The 15,204-nt window shown below is 42.2% G+C and overlaps 1 protein-coding gene across 3 annotated transcripts in view; it reads right to left on the bottom strand.

Annotated features, from left to right (window-relative positions):
• SHISA6 (shisa family member 6) overlaps window positions 1-15,204 on the bottom strand; it is a 322,851-nt gene that overhangs the window by 181,367 nt on the left and 126,280 nt on the right. For 2 of the 3 annotated variants that reach the window (NM_207386.4, NM_001173462.2), the window contains exon 3: window positions 3,188-3,283. The exons of the other annotated variant lie outside the window; for it this stretch is intronic. In NM_207386.4, coding sequence (NP_997269.2) covers window positions 3,188-3,283 — 96 coding nt within the window. The remainder of the gene's footprint in view (window positions 1-3,187; window positions 3,284-15,204) is intronic. 3 annotated transcript variants of the gene reach the window in all.

Here is a 15,204-nt window from a genome sequence, read left to right as displayed (position 1 = left end):
GCTGGAGGAAAATGTTGGATGAAGAGGGAAAAAGGAATAAAGGAAGAGGATCCAGAAAGAGAGTCACTGAAGTTGAAACAAAGGATAGAGAAATAAAACAAAGAGAATTAAACACATACAAATGAAAGTGACCCCACATTAGATGTTTCTGAATTGTTCCCTTCCATGGGATATTTACATGGGGCCAGTTGCTTACAGCTAGCACTTAGAGTTGAACTTAGTTTGCTCTGAAGGAAGAGAGGATGGTTCCTTGCCCTTTTCCAGAGATCCCAGCTGTCCAGAGGACTAAAGAGTCCCTGACATTAGAAGGGAAGTTCAAGCCAGATGTAGTGACTCAATCCCATAAACTCAGCACTTTGGGAGGGGAAGGTGGAAGGATCACTTGAGGCCAGGAGTTTGAGACCAGCCTGGGCAACATAGTGAGACCCTGTTTCTACAAAAATAAAAAAAAATTAAATTAGCTGAGCATGGGAGCATGCGCCTGTAGTCCCAGCTACTCAAGAGGCTGAAATGGAAGGATCACTTGAGCCCAGGAGTTCGAGGTTATAGTGAGCTATGATTGTGCCACTGTACTTCAGCCTGGGCAACAGAGTGAGACCCTGTCTCCCTCTCTCTCTCTCTCTAAAAAACGGAATCTCCATTTCCGAAGTCTGCCTGCACCCACTACCCCCAACCACCAACCTCAAACCCAGATTCTTTGTTCTTGAAACTTTAGCTGTTCTCTAAATAGGGAAATACACACAAGGTACATTCCTGGAAAGAGAAGGTGTCAGAAGCCTTGGTAGAGAAAGGAACGGGGAGAAAAATATGGCACAAATAGTGAATGGGGAGAACAAGCAATGCACGCACAGGAGGGGCAGGTGGTGCCACAGAACAAATTAAGATGGGAGATAAGGAGCATCAGACACAGCACAGCCCCACAGGCATGGGCAGGGGAGGGTCTCCTGGATGCCCCCAGCAGCAGTGACTGAAAGAACAGACAGGGATTGGGAATCACCTTCATGTGGCTCTGATGGAGTCCAGTTCATTTGGAAGCAGTTTAACGTCCACTATTGGATAAATGCATGATCTGGCTCACCTATGGCTTGGATCCTCTCTCTTTCCACTCTGGTCCTCTTTTATCCTGCTGTACTCAGACTGGCCTCCTTTCTACTTCCCCAATTCCCACCTTATTGGAGAGGCCTTCCCTGGGAAGACCAGCTTCCTGCCACTGCACTCCCTGCTGCCTGCTTTAATTTTTCTCCTTGCACTTATTGTCAATAATTTATTTTGTCTGTTTCTCCCAGTGGAATGTGAGTTCTGTAAGGAACTCCATAAACTCCATAACTTCTAAATATTGCTTAGCACATAGCAGGCCTCATTAAATATTTGTTGAAAGAAAGCATGAACCCAAAGCCATCATATTTATTATATGTATAAAGAGTTCTGTTGGTTGAAGTGTTGGGTGTTTTGGGTTGGACCACCTATAAGAGTAAGGGGTAGGGGAAAGGGTGGGGAACCACTGCAGTGGAGAAACCTCCCTAACAGTTGCCGTGTTCTGTTTGGAAATCCATATTTCCACCTCTGCTCCAAGGTTTGTAGGCTTGTGGTAGCTGGCCTCCGAATTGGCCCCCAACAATCCTCGGCTCCTGATATTCATAACTCAGTGTAGTTCCCACCCACTCAGAATAAGATATTGCAAAAGTAATGGCGTGCAACTGATAGGATTGGTCATCAAAGACGCTGTGTCTTCTGTCTTTCTCCTTCTCTGATTACCCACCCTGAGGAAATCCAGGCACCATGCAGTGAAGACACTCAGCTACCCAGGGAGAGAATGTCACGGGGAGGAACTGAAGCTTCTTGCCAACATCCAGCACCATGTGAGTGAAGCGTCTTGGAGGCAGATCCTCCAGCCCTAGTCAAGCCTTCAGAGGAGGCAGCCCTGCCTGACGTGGTGATGGCAACCTCATGAGACTCCAAGCCCAAAGCACTCAGGTTCCCAACCCACAGGAACTATGTGAGATAACGGATGTTTATTACTGTTTTAAAACGCTAAGTTTGAGAGTAAATTGTCTCACAGTGCTAGGTAATAATCACAAAGTGGATGATGTGGGGACCAGCAATCCCAGGTTTGAGTTAATAGACTATGGCCCAGAATGTATCTTTTAGTGAGTAAATGTGAAGTCCATTTCCCATTCTGGAGATAGCTGGTCTCAGTTTGATTCTGCAACTCTTAGTAGCCACAAATGCCACCTGTATCCTCGATAAACTTTATTTAGACACAAATAGACACAACAGAAAATACATACACAGATACAGATTTTTTTTTCTCTATAGGATGAACAAACATCACATAAGGAATTTAAAAAGTAGGTGCATGGAATGTAAGAAAATATTGCACAGTTCCTTGTTTACTCACACAAGACACGTATCTCAGGGGAAGACAGGGATACACTACCCCTACAACAGAATTCACATTTGATCTATAACAGCACACAGGTGTTGGGACGGTAATTAAAGGAGTTAGGGATCCAGTGACTCTTGATGTGACAGAATGCTCACAACACTCGTAGGACCTTGTTTAAACAAAAGACAGAATTGAGGAGGAGTCCATGCCCCCTGCACAGATGCTCTGCAAGCTGTCAGCTAGGTTGTAAAGCAGCTCAGCAGAAACTCTAGGTTAGCTTTCATCTTGAGGCTTGAAGGTCTGCATAACCTTCTACCTTTGTGTCCACATCATAGAGTGTTTATGGAGACACACTTAGGATGCTGAAACTCTCCACATGCACACCGGCTTAGATACCACAGTACAGAACATTGACATTGGTTTATAAAATGTAGCTTTCAAAAGGAAAAGGAATAATAGCCAAGAGGCGAACACACACATTGCAAATGCTGCTACATCCACCGGCAGTTTTCCACCACACTCCCTGTGGTCCCTTCCCACAAGGAGCCGCCGGCATCTGTGTCCCCGCCATGGGTGGAGTGGGATGGGTGTCTCTTGGAAGTCTATCGCCCTCTAAAGTCACACCTGTGACCTCCAGTAACTCCTGTCAGAAGCCACGCATGTCACCAGGACAAGCTGCCATGGAACCACCCCACTTATTCCTGTCCCAGACAAGCCTCTGGCCTCCACACCATCTTCTCATTTCAGATGGCGTTCCCTAGGCAACCTCTGTATTTTAGTAAAAAATGGTTTCCACTGTACCCTTGGTGTGTCCTCTTCCTAATGTGACAAATCCAGATGAGATGAAGTTATGGAGATCAGGTCCTCCACTTCGGTAAGCATCCTTCCCATAATGCCCTGCAAGAAGATGGGGCAGAATTACCTGGCGCATCCACGACACCAACATGGAAGACAAGCGCAGCTGCATCTCACCCAACAGTGATGGCGTGCATGTTTTCAAACCAGCAGCTAAGTCAGAAGGTGGAGGCAGCCAAGAATATATATACACATACATATAAAATATATATTATATATGAAAAATATATATATTACTGAATATATATACATATACACATATATAATTATATATACATATTATACATATATGTGTGTATATATTAGTATATATACTTATATATATATCTAGTATATTAGTATATATACACACATATATGTATATAAAACTGTGCAACAAAGAACAAAGTCCTGGGAACATTACATTACATTGAAAGTATAGGAGAACAAACGAGATACACGGCTTGATTTTGGCATTTCTGGCTGAGCGCAAGGTACACCAGAACCTTAGTCTATTTGTCCCACCACTCTTTCCTTTATCTCACCTTCCCTCTGTCTCTTTCATCCATTATTCATTTGTTTTTTCTTTCTAATGTTTATGAATCATACCACAACCTGTGGGACTACAGCTCGTGACTTCAGAGAAATCCGACAGCAGCTGAGGCTGACAAATAGAATGGTGGTTACAAAATACTGAGAAAATATATACGTGCTTCGCTTCTTTAACTTTATGCAGCAGACACTATCCCCTGCCTGCTTAATGCAGAGATCTACCTGTGGTTTTGTGGGGAGGAAAAGACAGAGGGCAGGTTAGGATTGTGGATAGAAATTCAAAGAGAACCGAGTTAATGTTCTACTTCTGACATTCAAAATAGGATTTTGCAGTACGCTTGAAATACAGGCATTGTAAAAAAAGAAAGGCCTCCCTAAATGCCCTCCTAAAGTATGTACATGTGAAAAAACCATTTCTTTCATGTTACCAAAAGAGTGTATTAAAAATCGTATGTATAACTATAACAATGCACAGGCCTACTTCAGATATAATGTTAAGTTTAAAAATGGACAGAAACGGTTCATTAAACAGAATCACAGTGCTGTAAAAATTCAAACCAGTGCGTGCATGTGCGCGCACACACACACACACACAAGATAGAAAAAAAGCACACAAACATATCAAAGACAAATGTCTTTGGATAGTAGGAACACGAGTGCTATTTCTTCTGTCTTTTCAGCTTTTCTATATTTTCCAAGTGTTTTTTCCGTATGAATATGTAATTTGTCTCATATAAATAGGTAAAATAAATGCCTAATGGAAAAATTTATGAAAATACAAAGACAACACAAAGCGTGATTTTTTGTAATGCCACTTTCTGGATCAGTAGATTGCAACCCTGGGTGCGTGCTGGAATCAGAGTTGGGGGACGAGGAGGAGAGCATTAGAACAGACAGCTAATGCATGTGGGGCTTAAAACCTAGACGACGGGTTGACCGGTACAGCAAACCACCTTAGCACATGTTTACCTATGTAACAAACCTGCACGTTCTGCACATGTATGCTGAAACTTAAAGTAAAATTTGTTTTTAAAAATGCAGACCCTCAGACTCAACTCCAGAGATTCTGATTCAATTGAGTGGGGTCCGGGCTTAGGCAGGTATATTTTTAAAGCACTCTCTAGTGATTCTAATGTGCCACCGGAAATGAGAACCACTGCCTTAGTGTAAATGGAGGAACAACTAAGCTCAGTTTATTCAGGTGACTTCAATGAAAACCTCTTAGGCGCCCAGCTCTACCCACAATTTATGTTCAGGGCTTCAGCATTCTTCCTCCGAAGAGTGGAGTCTAGCTCCATTCCCTCCCTCTTACCCCAGATCTCAAACCTGAGAGTGCCTCAGCATAGCCAGGAGAGCTTAAAACAGGTGCTGGGCCCCACTCCCAGAGTTTCTGATTCAGAAGATCCAGGACAGGGCTCAAGAGTCTGCACTTCTATCAAGTCTCCTGGTGATGCGGATGCCGCTGTTTTGGGGACCACACTCTGAGAAGTAATGCCTTCGTGCATCAGGAACAGGAGAATCTTGCCACTGTTTCCCTCACACCCTCCCTTCTGGAATAAGTTACCTCCTTCCTTAGGGCACACAGCTTTCCAGGAGGAGCATTCTTGCTGTAAAATACTGTGGCCACAACCCTCACTTTTATAGAACAGAATTATTAGGCTGGGGGTGGTGGTTCATGCCTGTAACCCCAGCACTTTGGGAAAAAAGAAAAAATGCTGGGGCATAATGAGGCAGCACCAAGAGCATTTGAAAGGAGTAAAGAATTCTTTAGTCAAATCAGTTTGGAAAATGTTGAGTTCAATGAAATGAAAAGCTACATAAAAACCAAGTCTAGGGACTTCTCACAAGGCAGTGATCACTGAACTGTCTATGAAGCTTTTATGTTTTTCAAAGCCATCCATTGGGACACTTTTTGGTAAAGCTGCTCATGAGACTGAGGTGGAAAAAGCACAATGACAGTTTCAGCTTTCATTTGAACTGTGGTTCTCAAAGTTGAGCGTGCACCACACTCTCTTGGATGGCACAGATCGCAGGGTCCCGGCTCCAGAATCCCGGATTTAGTAGGTCAGAGGAGAGGCCTGACAATTTCCATTCCTAACAAGTTCCCAGATGATGCTAATAATGCTCTTAGGTCCAAGGACAACTCTTCATGAACCACTATGTTTGGACCAGTGATAGGTCAGTCTTCTGCTGGACCCAGGGTCAAGGTCTAGAATGATCTGCATTCTCTGTAGCCTCCAAAGTTTAATATGAACCAGGGAGGCATGAAGAGAAGAAGGGCTGGTTAAAAGGGAAGCCCCAGGCCGGGCGCAGTGGCTCACGTCTGTAATCCCAGCACTTTGGAAGGCCGAGGTGGGTGGATCATGAGGTCAGGAGATCGAGACCATCCTGGCTAACATGGCAAAACCCCGTCTTTACTAAAAATACAAAAAATGAGCCAAGTGTGGTGGCACAGGCCTGTAGTCCCAGCTACTCGGGAAGCTGAGGCCTGAGGCAGGAGAACTGCTTGAACCTGGGAGGTGGAGGTTGCAGTGAGCTCAGATCGCGCCACTGTACTCCAGGCCGGGCAACAGAGCGAGACGTCTCAAAAAAAAAAAAACAAACAAAAAAAAACATGAAGCCCCATGCAGGCAGACAGAAGAGAGGGGAGTCAGTGCCTCTTCTTTTCCTTGGTGATGCATAGAGTTAATGGGTTGATGATATGAACTCATGATTATATGAGTGGGTATCATAGGATTTGTTAGCTGTAACACAAAGAACCACCCCCTTCCTTGTCCTGCAGTCTCTGCCCATCTGCCACTTATCAGGGTAAGAGGACAAAAGAGGGCAAACTTTGACCAAATTGCAGTTCAAGAGAAACAACCATGTATATCCAGCAGAGCTCTGAACAGAAGTTAAGCCAAAGTTCCGTGAAGCATAAGCACTTCCATGTCACAGGACGGACAGACACACAGTCCACAGCCAGGGACCAGGATGGTTTCAGGTTTCAGAGCATGCCTTCCACCACCTGCTGAACTGAATGGTGCAAATCAGCATCCTGGTGATGTCTATACCTCCAGTTCTGCCACTGCCCCCTCACCTTCACCACTGACAACCCTCCCTAAAGCAACAAAGATTTTATTTTAGCTCAGTCGCTGCTCAGGCTGCCTCGACCTCCCGTCAGAACTCCATGCCTTTCCCAAATCTCAGCACAATTCAGAAGTCCTAGAGACAGCACCAACGGACAACTGTCCCCAGGCAGGAGGCAGATTCAAGCTAAAGAGAGGACCATGGCTGGGCTCCTGGAGTGTGTGATACGGCTGACTCTGATAAGAAAGCAAGTGGAGGGAAAGTTTCTCTGTGAAACAGATTTGCTGTAAGGAAAGGAGGGAAAAAAATGAGATAATATCCAAATGGTGATCTCTGTAAAGACTTAACAGAATTTTGCATCTGTGAGATTAGACCAACAGCCATAAGGGGGAAACAAACTGATCAGGACAGTTTGCCTCGGGTTGCAGATCTGGACTAGAGAACGGATACACAAGGAAGCTGATAAAGGAGAGTCCAATGAGAGAAAGGCACTGGGTACTCAGAGGGGAAGGACAAAGAGATAAAAACTGTGGGAGAAAAGACAGGGCACAGAGGACAACTTCAGGAGTCATATCTATTTAAAATAAGACTCCCAGAGGAGAGACAAAAGGGAGAGTTCAGAAGCAATAATTACAAGTTAATAGTTTTTCTTTTTTTCTGAACAGATTGGAAGACTTTAGTCTTTCGATCAAAAGAAATAATCAAGTACCAGATTATGCATTAAAAGGGACCGATATCTAGATATACCCTGGTGAAATGCCATTTTAAAAAATAAAGGAGAACACTCAAGCCAACATCATAAAACACAAAACCTACAGAAAGTGCAGCAACGTTTTTAAGAATTTTGACCCCTTCATTTTTGTAGAGGTGGGACAGTATACTGGTGGAGGGACACTCTTATCTGGAAATGACTGACAAGATTCAAACCTCTGTGTGTCTGTGTCCTCAAATGCGAAATGAAAACAATGATGACGCCCATTTCATATTATATATGTTACATATAATATGAATTATATATGTGTTATATATAATATGAATACACAAAGCATTTAGAACAGTAGTACTAGTATTACTTAAGTACTACTATTACTACTATTTAAGTACTAGTATTAAGTGCTAGTACTATTACTATTTAAGGGCTACTAGTATTATTTAGGATAAGAGCTTGCTATTATTTTTGAATGAAGATGTTTTGATTCCATTCCTCTACCTAAAAATTCACTGAAAATAATGAAAAGAAAGGAGAATAGAAAAGCTTTCTTCACAAAAAAGTCCAGACTTTTCACTAAATAGGGGAAAAATATACAAACATAAACATACATGCAAATATACACAAAAACACATACACAGAAATCAAGTCAAGGACTAAGAAGCTAAATACAAAAAAAAATCACACACTAAAAACTGTCACATAAGAATCAGAGAGAATATGTTAATGATCTCAGAGTAAGAATTTTTAAACAAGACTCAAGTCAAAAACTAGAGAGAAAACAAAAAAAAATTTTAAACTGTGGTACATCAAAAGCAGTCATGAAACTACAAGTCAAAGACTAAAAATGTATATTTACATTACTTTCTAGAGCACGTAAATAACTTCACATTAATAAGAAAGTAAACAACCCAATTAAAAAAATAGGGAAAAGAAATGCATAGGCGACTCAAAGGAGAGAAAACCCAAAGGGCAAATACACATAAAGTAGTGTTCAATCTCACAAGTAATAGGGAAATTCAAATTAAAACCATAATGAGGTATCACTTCACACTCAATAGACTAGCAAAAATTAAAATGCCTGAGCCTACTGACATGAATAAGCAGAAACAAGAACTCATGTACCTTTCTGGGAGTGTAAATCGGTTCAACTCCTTTGAAAAGAACTTTGGCAATGGCTAATAAAGTTGAATGTGGATATAGCAGGAAACTGGCCACTCTACTTCTAGGTATATAACCTAGATAAATCCTCACACGTGCATAAGGAGATAGGCACCAGCATGTTCACTGCAATATTGTTTGTAATACCGACAATTAGGGAAAAGAATCTATCTTCCCAGCCAGAGAAAAGTCATAAATAGTGGTGTACTCACACAATGTATTCTTATACAGTACAAATGAAATGTAATGAAATTAAATGAACCAGAGCTCTAAATATCAGCATGGATGGTTCTCAGTCATAATGATGAATGCACAAAGCAAACAAGAAAAGCAGGATGACATGACACAGAGAGAGTTTTAAAATATGCAACATAACACATTATGTTGTTTGAGGATGCGTGCATATGTAGTATTATACAGATACAAAGAAATTCATTGAAATGATAGAGATTTTAATATAACAGATAATTCTGTAGGTAAGAAGAAAAATGTAATTGAGAAAAAGTATAAAAGGTACTTCTCTGTTTCATTTCCTATGCTGGGTAGCTGGAGACTTGCTTGACAATTAAACAATTTTTTGTTTTATTTGTTTATAATCTAGATAAATGATGGATGGATAGATGGATAGACAGATGGATAGACTGATTGGCGGCTTTTGGTTAAGTGGCTGTTACCTGAGGGTTTTATTCATTGCCAAATTATCCTTTAAGAATAAAGGCCACAAAGAGTGTCCAGTTTTAAGAACTCAGGGACTAAAATACCCACGAGTCACCATAGATGGGAGAATTAAAATAGACCTGATGAAAAAATCCACCAAGAAAGAAAAAAAAACTCTAGAATTTCTAAAAACATGAATGTATTTATCTGTAATCTTCAAGCAGTACACAAATCCCAAATTCATTAAGAAAAGATTGGCAAACTAGATTACACATTTTTAAGCATTTAACGAGTTATCTTTATTGACAGAAATAAAGTTAAATGATACTGGAGTTGCCCCAGAAAATCTGGTGTAAAAACAGGGTAATAAAAGTACACTGTGGTCATGAAATAAAACCGAAAGTAGCTTGAGGGGTGGGGGAGCAATTCTCCATCTTTAGAGCCTGCTTGAAATGCATTATGTGCCCTCAGAACAGGCACAGAGCTGGCCTCTGACAAGCTGAGAGGGAGCTTGAATGGTGCTTAGGCCCTTCTGTACAACCATGCACGGCTGAAACTCTCTATGGAAAAATATACCACAGACAAAAGATAAAACACATATTATACCCCAGTGACACACTTTCAATACATGAGATAAAGGCCTTTTCCCTTTGTTTACAAAAAACTCCAGCATGTCAATAATGAAAAGGCACACAGGTACAAACAAACGAACAAATAATAACTAGAAAAAACACATTAAAAATATACAAAAACTGAAAAAAAAAGAAAAGCAATAGGTAGTACCCCACTACACACGGAAAGAAAATGTTTTAAAAGGCTAATGGATATTTAAAAATATGATTAACCTTAACTCCCAATTAAGAAAACACAAAGCAAAATATAAGATACCTTTTTAGAAAACCAATCAGTTTGGCAAAACTGAAGAATCTGATGATACCCAGTGCCAGGAGAATGGGCACCTCATTCCCACTGGTGGGAGTGAAAATCAGTAGTGCCAATTTGAAGGGCATGCCTTTGACCTATTTTCCTGCTGCTAGAAATTTACCTTACATACATGCCCTCAAAATTTTCCATAATATCTCAACCAGGCTAGACAGTGCAGGATTCATTGCAAATAGTTTCTGCCAGTGAGGAACTTAATAAACTGGAATCCAACATCCATGATGGAATACTATGCAGCTGTTAAAAAGAAGGAGGCAGAGCTGTATGTGCTGGTAGGAAGGTTTCCAAGATACAGAAAGTTGAAAAAACAACAACAAAAAAGCAAGACCCAGAGCAATGCTTATGTATGACTTCTTTTATATAAATAACAATAAAAAGAAAACATACAAAGGAAATATCTATAGGTCCATTCCAGGTATGATGATTTATACCAACAATAATTTTTTTCTGGAAATAATCATGAACACAATCTATTAAAACTTTCTTTCCTTTGAGGAGAGGGGTGGGGCTGATGGGAGGGAGGCATTTGCCTTTGATTTTTATTATTTTCTTTAATTTTTGAATATTCTAAACGTGTTATTTTAATTTTTGTAATATTTAGAGTTTATCTGGGATTATAAAGTGGGCTCATGGGCCATTTTTTTTTGTTGTTTTTCTCTGTACTTTTTAATTTGAAAACAACAACAACAAAAACCTAATAACGTTATTTTATAAAAAGAAGTACAAGGGCCAGGAAACGAGAGGGGCCACTTTTCCATGTGTAAATGACAAGGCATTTATCAAACACAGATACTAATACCTAACCTCACAGGAGGGCAGTGAGGATTAAATGAGATTCTGTGTATAAAGTGCTTCGTCTAATACTCTGCACAAATAAGCCCTCAATAAATGGGAGTTGCTCTTTGCATTAAGACCACAGTTTTCCTCTTTCCCATGTACCTCCCTGGGGTCCTCTTACCTTGCATGTGCCTCAAGCTGACCTCAGGCCATAAAGAGTCAAGGGAAAAGGGAGCTGGAGAGAGCCCGGGGTTTGCTCTCTGGCCTGAGGGCTCCTTCCCTGAGGAAGCCCCAGGGCTCCTTCCAGTTCCCAAGAATACACAACCCTGACTATACAATGAGAAGGGGGCTGGGAGCCAGGAGACCTGTGCTCCTCTCTGCATTAACTTTTTGCTGAACTAACAAGGCAGCTTCTGAGCTTGCTCTTACCGAGGTAAACTGGGGCAGGCCAGGTCTAACTGGAGATTGCACTGACACTAGCTAGTGCAAAAATCTCCAGAGAGCAGCAACTGGGGATGTGTTATTTCATGTGACAATTCTAGTGCTTGCTCACATAAGCCCATGAAGACTGTGTCCTCCAGAGTCTGTGCAGAGTTAGAAGAGCTGTTGGCAAATACTCTGGGCACCCCAAAGATCTCCTCTCTGGTTGTCTTCCCTCTGCCTACACTGCTGCTGGCGGAAACAAAGGGGACCATTGCTAAGTGCCTAGCCCATCAGGTGAATGCAAGGTGTCCACAGATGGGAAGGCTCAGGATAAACCATCCCAGCTTGTCAGAACCATTCAGGGACCACCTTACCCGACACTCTCACTGGACTAAAGAAGTATAAACCCAAAGAGGGTGAGTAGTGGCATTCTCAAGGTCACAAAGGCAGATAGTCTTGGAAACAGAAACGCATACTCTTGACTTCCAAGATGGTGCTTTCATCCTGTCATCTGCCCTAAGAGAAAGCAGAAGATCTCATCAGATACGGAAGCTTGAGGAGCACAGGCAAGATGGGGTGGGGACTAAGAACCTAGAATGCAGCTTGATAGCCATCCAAAGAGTGGGTGGATCCTCCCGAAAGCAGTTCGTAAGCGAACCTCTTTCGATTCAACTAAATGTCCCCCAAATCATCATTTTGTTGGTTTGGATTTTGTTTTTAAACTGGTGCTTTGTGTTTGAAACCAAAAACAAAGAAACAAACAAAAACGTAAATATGGGATCCATGGACGTCTCCAGCTGAGACCAAGAGCAAAGAAGGGGAGGGTCAAGGGCAAACTGTAGGTCAACTCACCCGTTGTAATTGAGGAGCTCCACTATGGGGTCTCCTGTATATTATATAGGCTTTCAGGTAAGATATTATCTTAAGAAAGTTACATGGCTAAAAATACAGTGTTTGAAAACCATACCTCTCATGTATCCTAACTATTTGCCACAGGGATGAGGGAGAGGAGTGCTTGATGGTGGTGATCTTAAGAGGTTTTAGAGGGGCTAAACCCTCTGCTTACTCCCTGCCATCAAGATAAAGTCAGAGAATGTTGCAACAGAAAGAGTCTTCAAGGTCACCTTTTCTCGCCCCTCTATTTGCTAATGAGGAAACTGGAGCTAGGGAAGGATAGTAAACAGTGCAAGGTCATGGAGGTGTTGACTGTTAAGTGGGGACTAAAGTCAGTGTCTTTGATTTCCCAGCCCTGGGCACATTCAATGTGCCTAGCAGCCCACAGTCTGAGAAAACAACGCAAAAGGCTGAGTTCTATTTCAGGGGACCCCAGCGCGCCATTTATTTTCTCCTCAGATATGCTGGCTGTAATCCCCTTGGAAAGATGCCCAGAGCTTAACCAAATTCTTGTCTCTGACTGGTCAGCATCCCAGAGCTGTTGCATTGTCATAAGCAGGACCCTGGCCAAGACAAACCCTGAAAAGAGCCGGGCAGAAGAGGCAAACGATGTGGTGCTCTGCAGGGAGGAACAACTCTTTCTTTGCACCCAGCGTCTTATGAGAATACAGGTTAGACCTCATGGCTCTATTAAGAAATGAAGGAATTGTCAGTTTCCTCTTGTCACCCTGCAGATGCATGGTGTGTTAGCCCATGGGGCAACTGAGACCTGCTTTCCTCTCTGTTTCTTGACTTCTTCTCACATTCTGCAAAAACACTGAGCGTCCTATGAGTGAATCCAAATGAATGAGTTTTAACTAAATGATCCTGAGAAACTGCCACCGTCTTAGATAATTTTATCATGTGCCTTTGGACTGAGACATTGGTGATGAATGCCTTTTAACATCTAGAGGAAAATGTGTGAAGAAAATATTGACATTCTCTATTTGCCAAAAGAGTTAAGTCTCAGAGAGGTTAAATAATTACACAAAGTCACAAAGTGACTAAGCTGTGATTTAGGATGGACTCTAAATTCCCTGTCTTTCTATGCTGGGAGTTCCTTTCATTCCACCATACTTGCAAAAAAAGCTAAGCCTGAAGTGCCAAATGGCCCTAGGCATATCTCAGTAACATAGAGGCGATAAAAGCATAGACTTCCAATAAGTCTTTCTGGTTCTGGGACTAGCTGTGTGGCTCTGGATGAACCATTCATGCTTTCTAAATTATCTTCATCTGTAAAATGGGAATGGTGCCTCGCTCATGAGGAAGGGATGAAGACTAAATTAAGTACAATAATTCGGCCGGGTTCGGTGGCCCATGCCTGTAATCCCAGCACTTTGGGAGGCTGAGGTGGGCGGATCACGAAGTCAGGAGTTCGAGACCAGCCTGACCAACATAGTGAAACCCTGTCTCTACTAAAAATACAAAAATTAGCTGGGCATGGTGGCACGCACCTATAATCCCAGCTACTCAGGAGGCTGAGGCAGGAGAATCACTTGAACCTGGGAGGCAGAGGTTGCAGTGAGTCAAGACTGTGCCACTGCACTCCAGCCTGGGCGACAGAGCAAGACTCTGTCTCAAAAAATAAATAAATAAATAACCGAACAAACGAAAAACAAAAAACCCCAACAATTCATATAAAGCACAGTGCCCCTTACAGTTATTTGATAAATAGTTACTATCATTACTAGTACTACTACCATTACTACTAGAAGAGCAAAACTCAAGTATACTGAATATTTCAAAATATTCCAGGGAGAAAGTCAAGGAAGAGTCTTAAGTCCAAAATTATTCAAAGCTCCAGGAAGGACTCTTCTCTACCCCATACTTCTGGGAGAGTATCAGTTTTCATGCTGGTAATGTCATGGTTTAGGGCACTCACTGCGATTCTCCTGAATGTGCTTTGGAAAAAACAGACCCGCTAATTAAGATTAGTAGGAGAAAACACGTCAGCTCATCTCACCTCCAAAAGGAAGCGCTCCATCTCACACCTGCCTGCACTGGTTCCTCTGTGATTCTGTGATCCCTGTCTTGCTCCTGACATGCTGGGAAATTTCATGTTTGTGTGGGTTGGACCATGTCCTTGGCTCTGAGACAGAATTTGCTTGGACACACCGAGTCTTGTACTGTATTGTCCAAATGTAGTCACGTGTATAGAGCGTCTTGTGGGATTTTGTCATCTATTGTCTCTTGATTCTTTGGAAAAGTGGGTCATGTGAGTGACTTGGGGTTAGATTAATTCAACTTTGGGAAGATGATGGAACTATAAGCACTCTAGGTGGGGGAGCTGTCCGGCCAGCATCTGCTCAAGGGACCACACCTCTTCCCAAGCACCTAAGAGAGAACTTTCCAACCCAGAGCAAAATAAACAATTGGAGAGGGAGAAAATTTGAGGGGCTAAACTATTTTTCAGACTGTAATGCCCAGTAGGAAGGTGATTTCATTTGCAGACTGTTATACCCTGAGCCTTCCTTGCCTCCTTATCCAGTTGTGTTGGCATGGTCCATCCTCAGCATCCTCAGCCTCCATCTCATTCCATGCATTCACTCAGCAAAACCGCCAGTGGTGAGAGCCCACCAGCTACATCTAGTAGATGTGGGACTTTAGATGTAAAGGGCTTAGAACAGCACCTGGGGTGTGTTCACCAATATCACTGTGACTGCCCAGGGTCTCTTAGAATTGAGAACCACAAGTTTCAAAGGGCCCCTCACCTCTTGGGAATTGTGCTTTCCTTCCCTGGAATGTTGGTTCTTCCAATTCC

Source organism: Homo sapiens, chromosome 17 (assembly GCF_000001405.40).
Source record: "Homo sapiens chromosome 17, GRCh38.p14 Primary Assembly".
Classification (NCBI taxonomy): Eukaryota; Metazoa; Chordata; class Mammalia; order Primates; family Hominidae; genus Homo; species Homo sapiens.
This window is presented reverse-complemented; position numbering and strand designations above follow the sequence as displayed.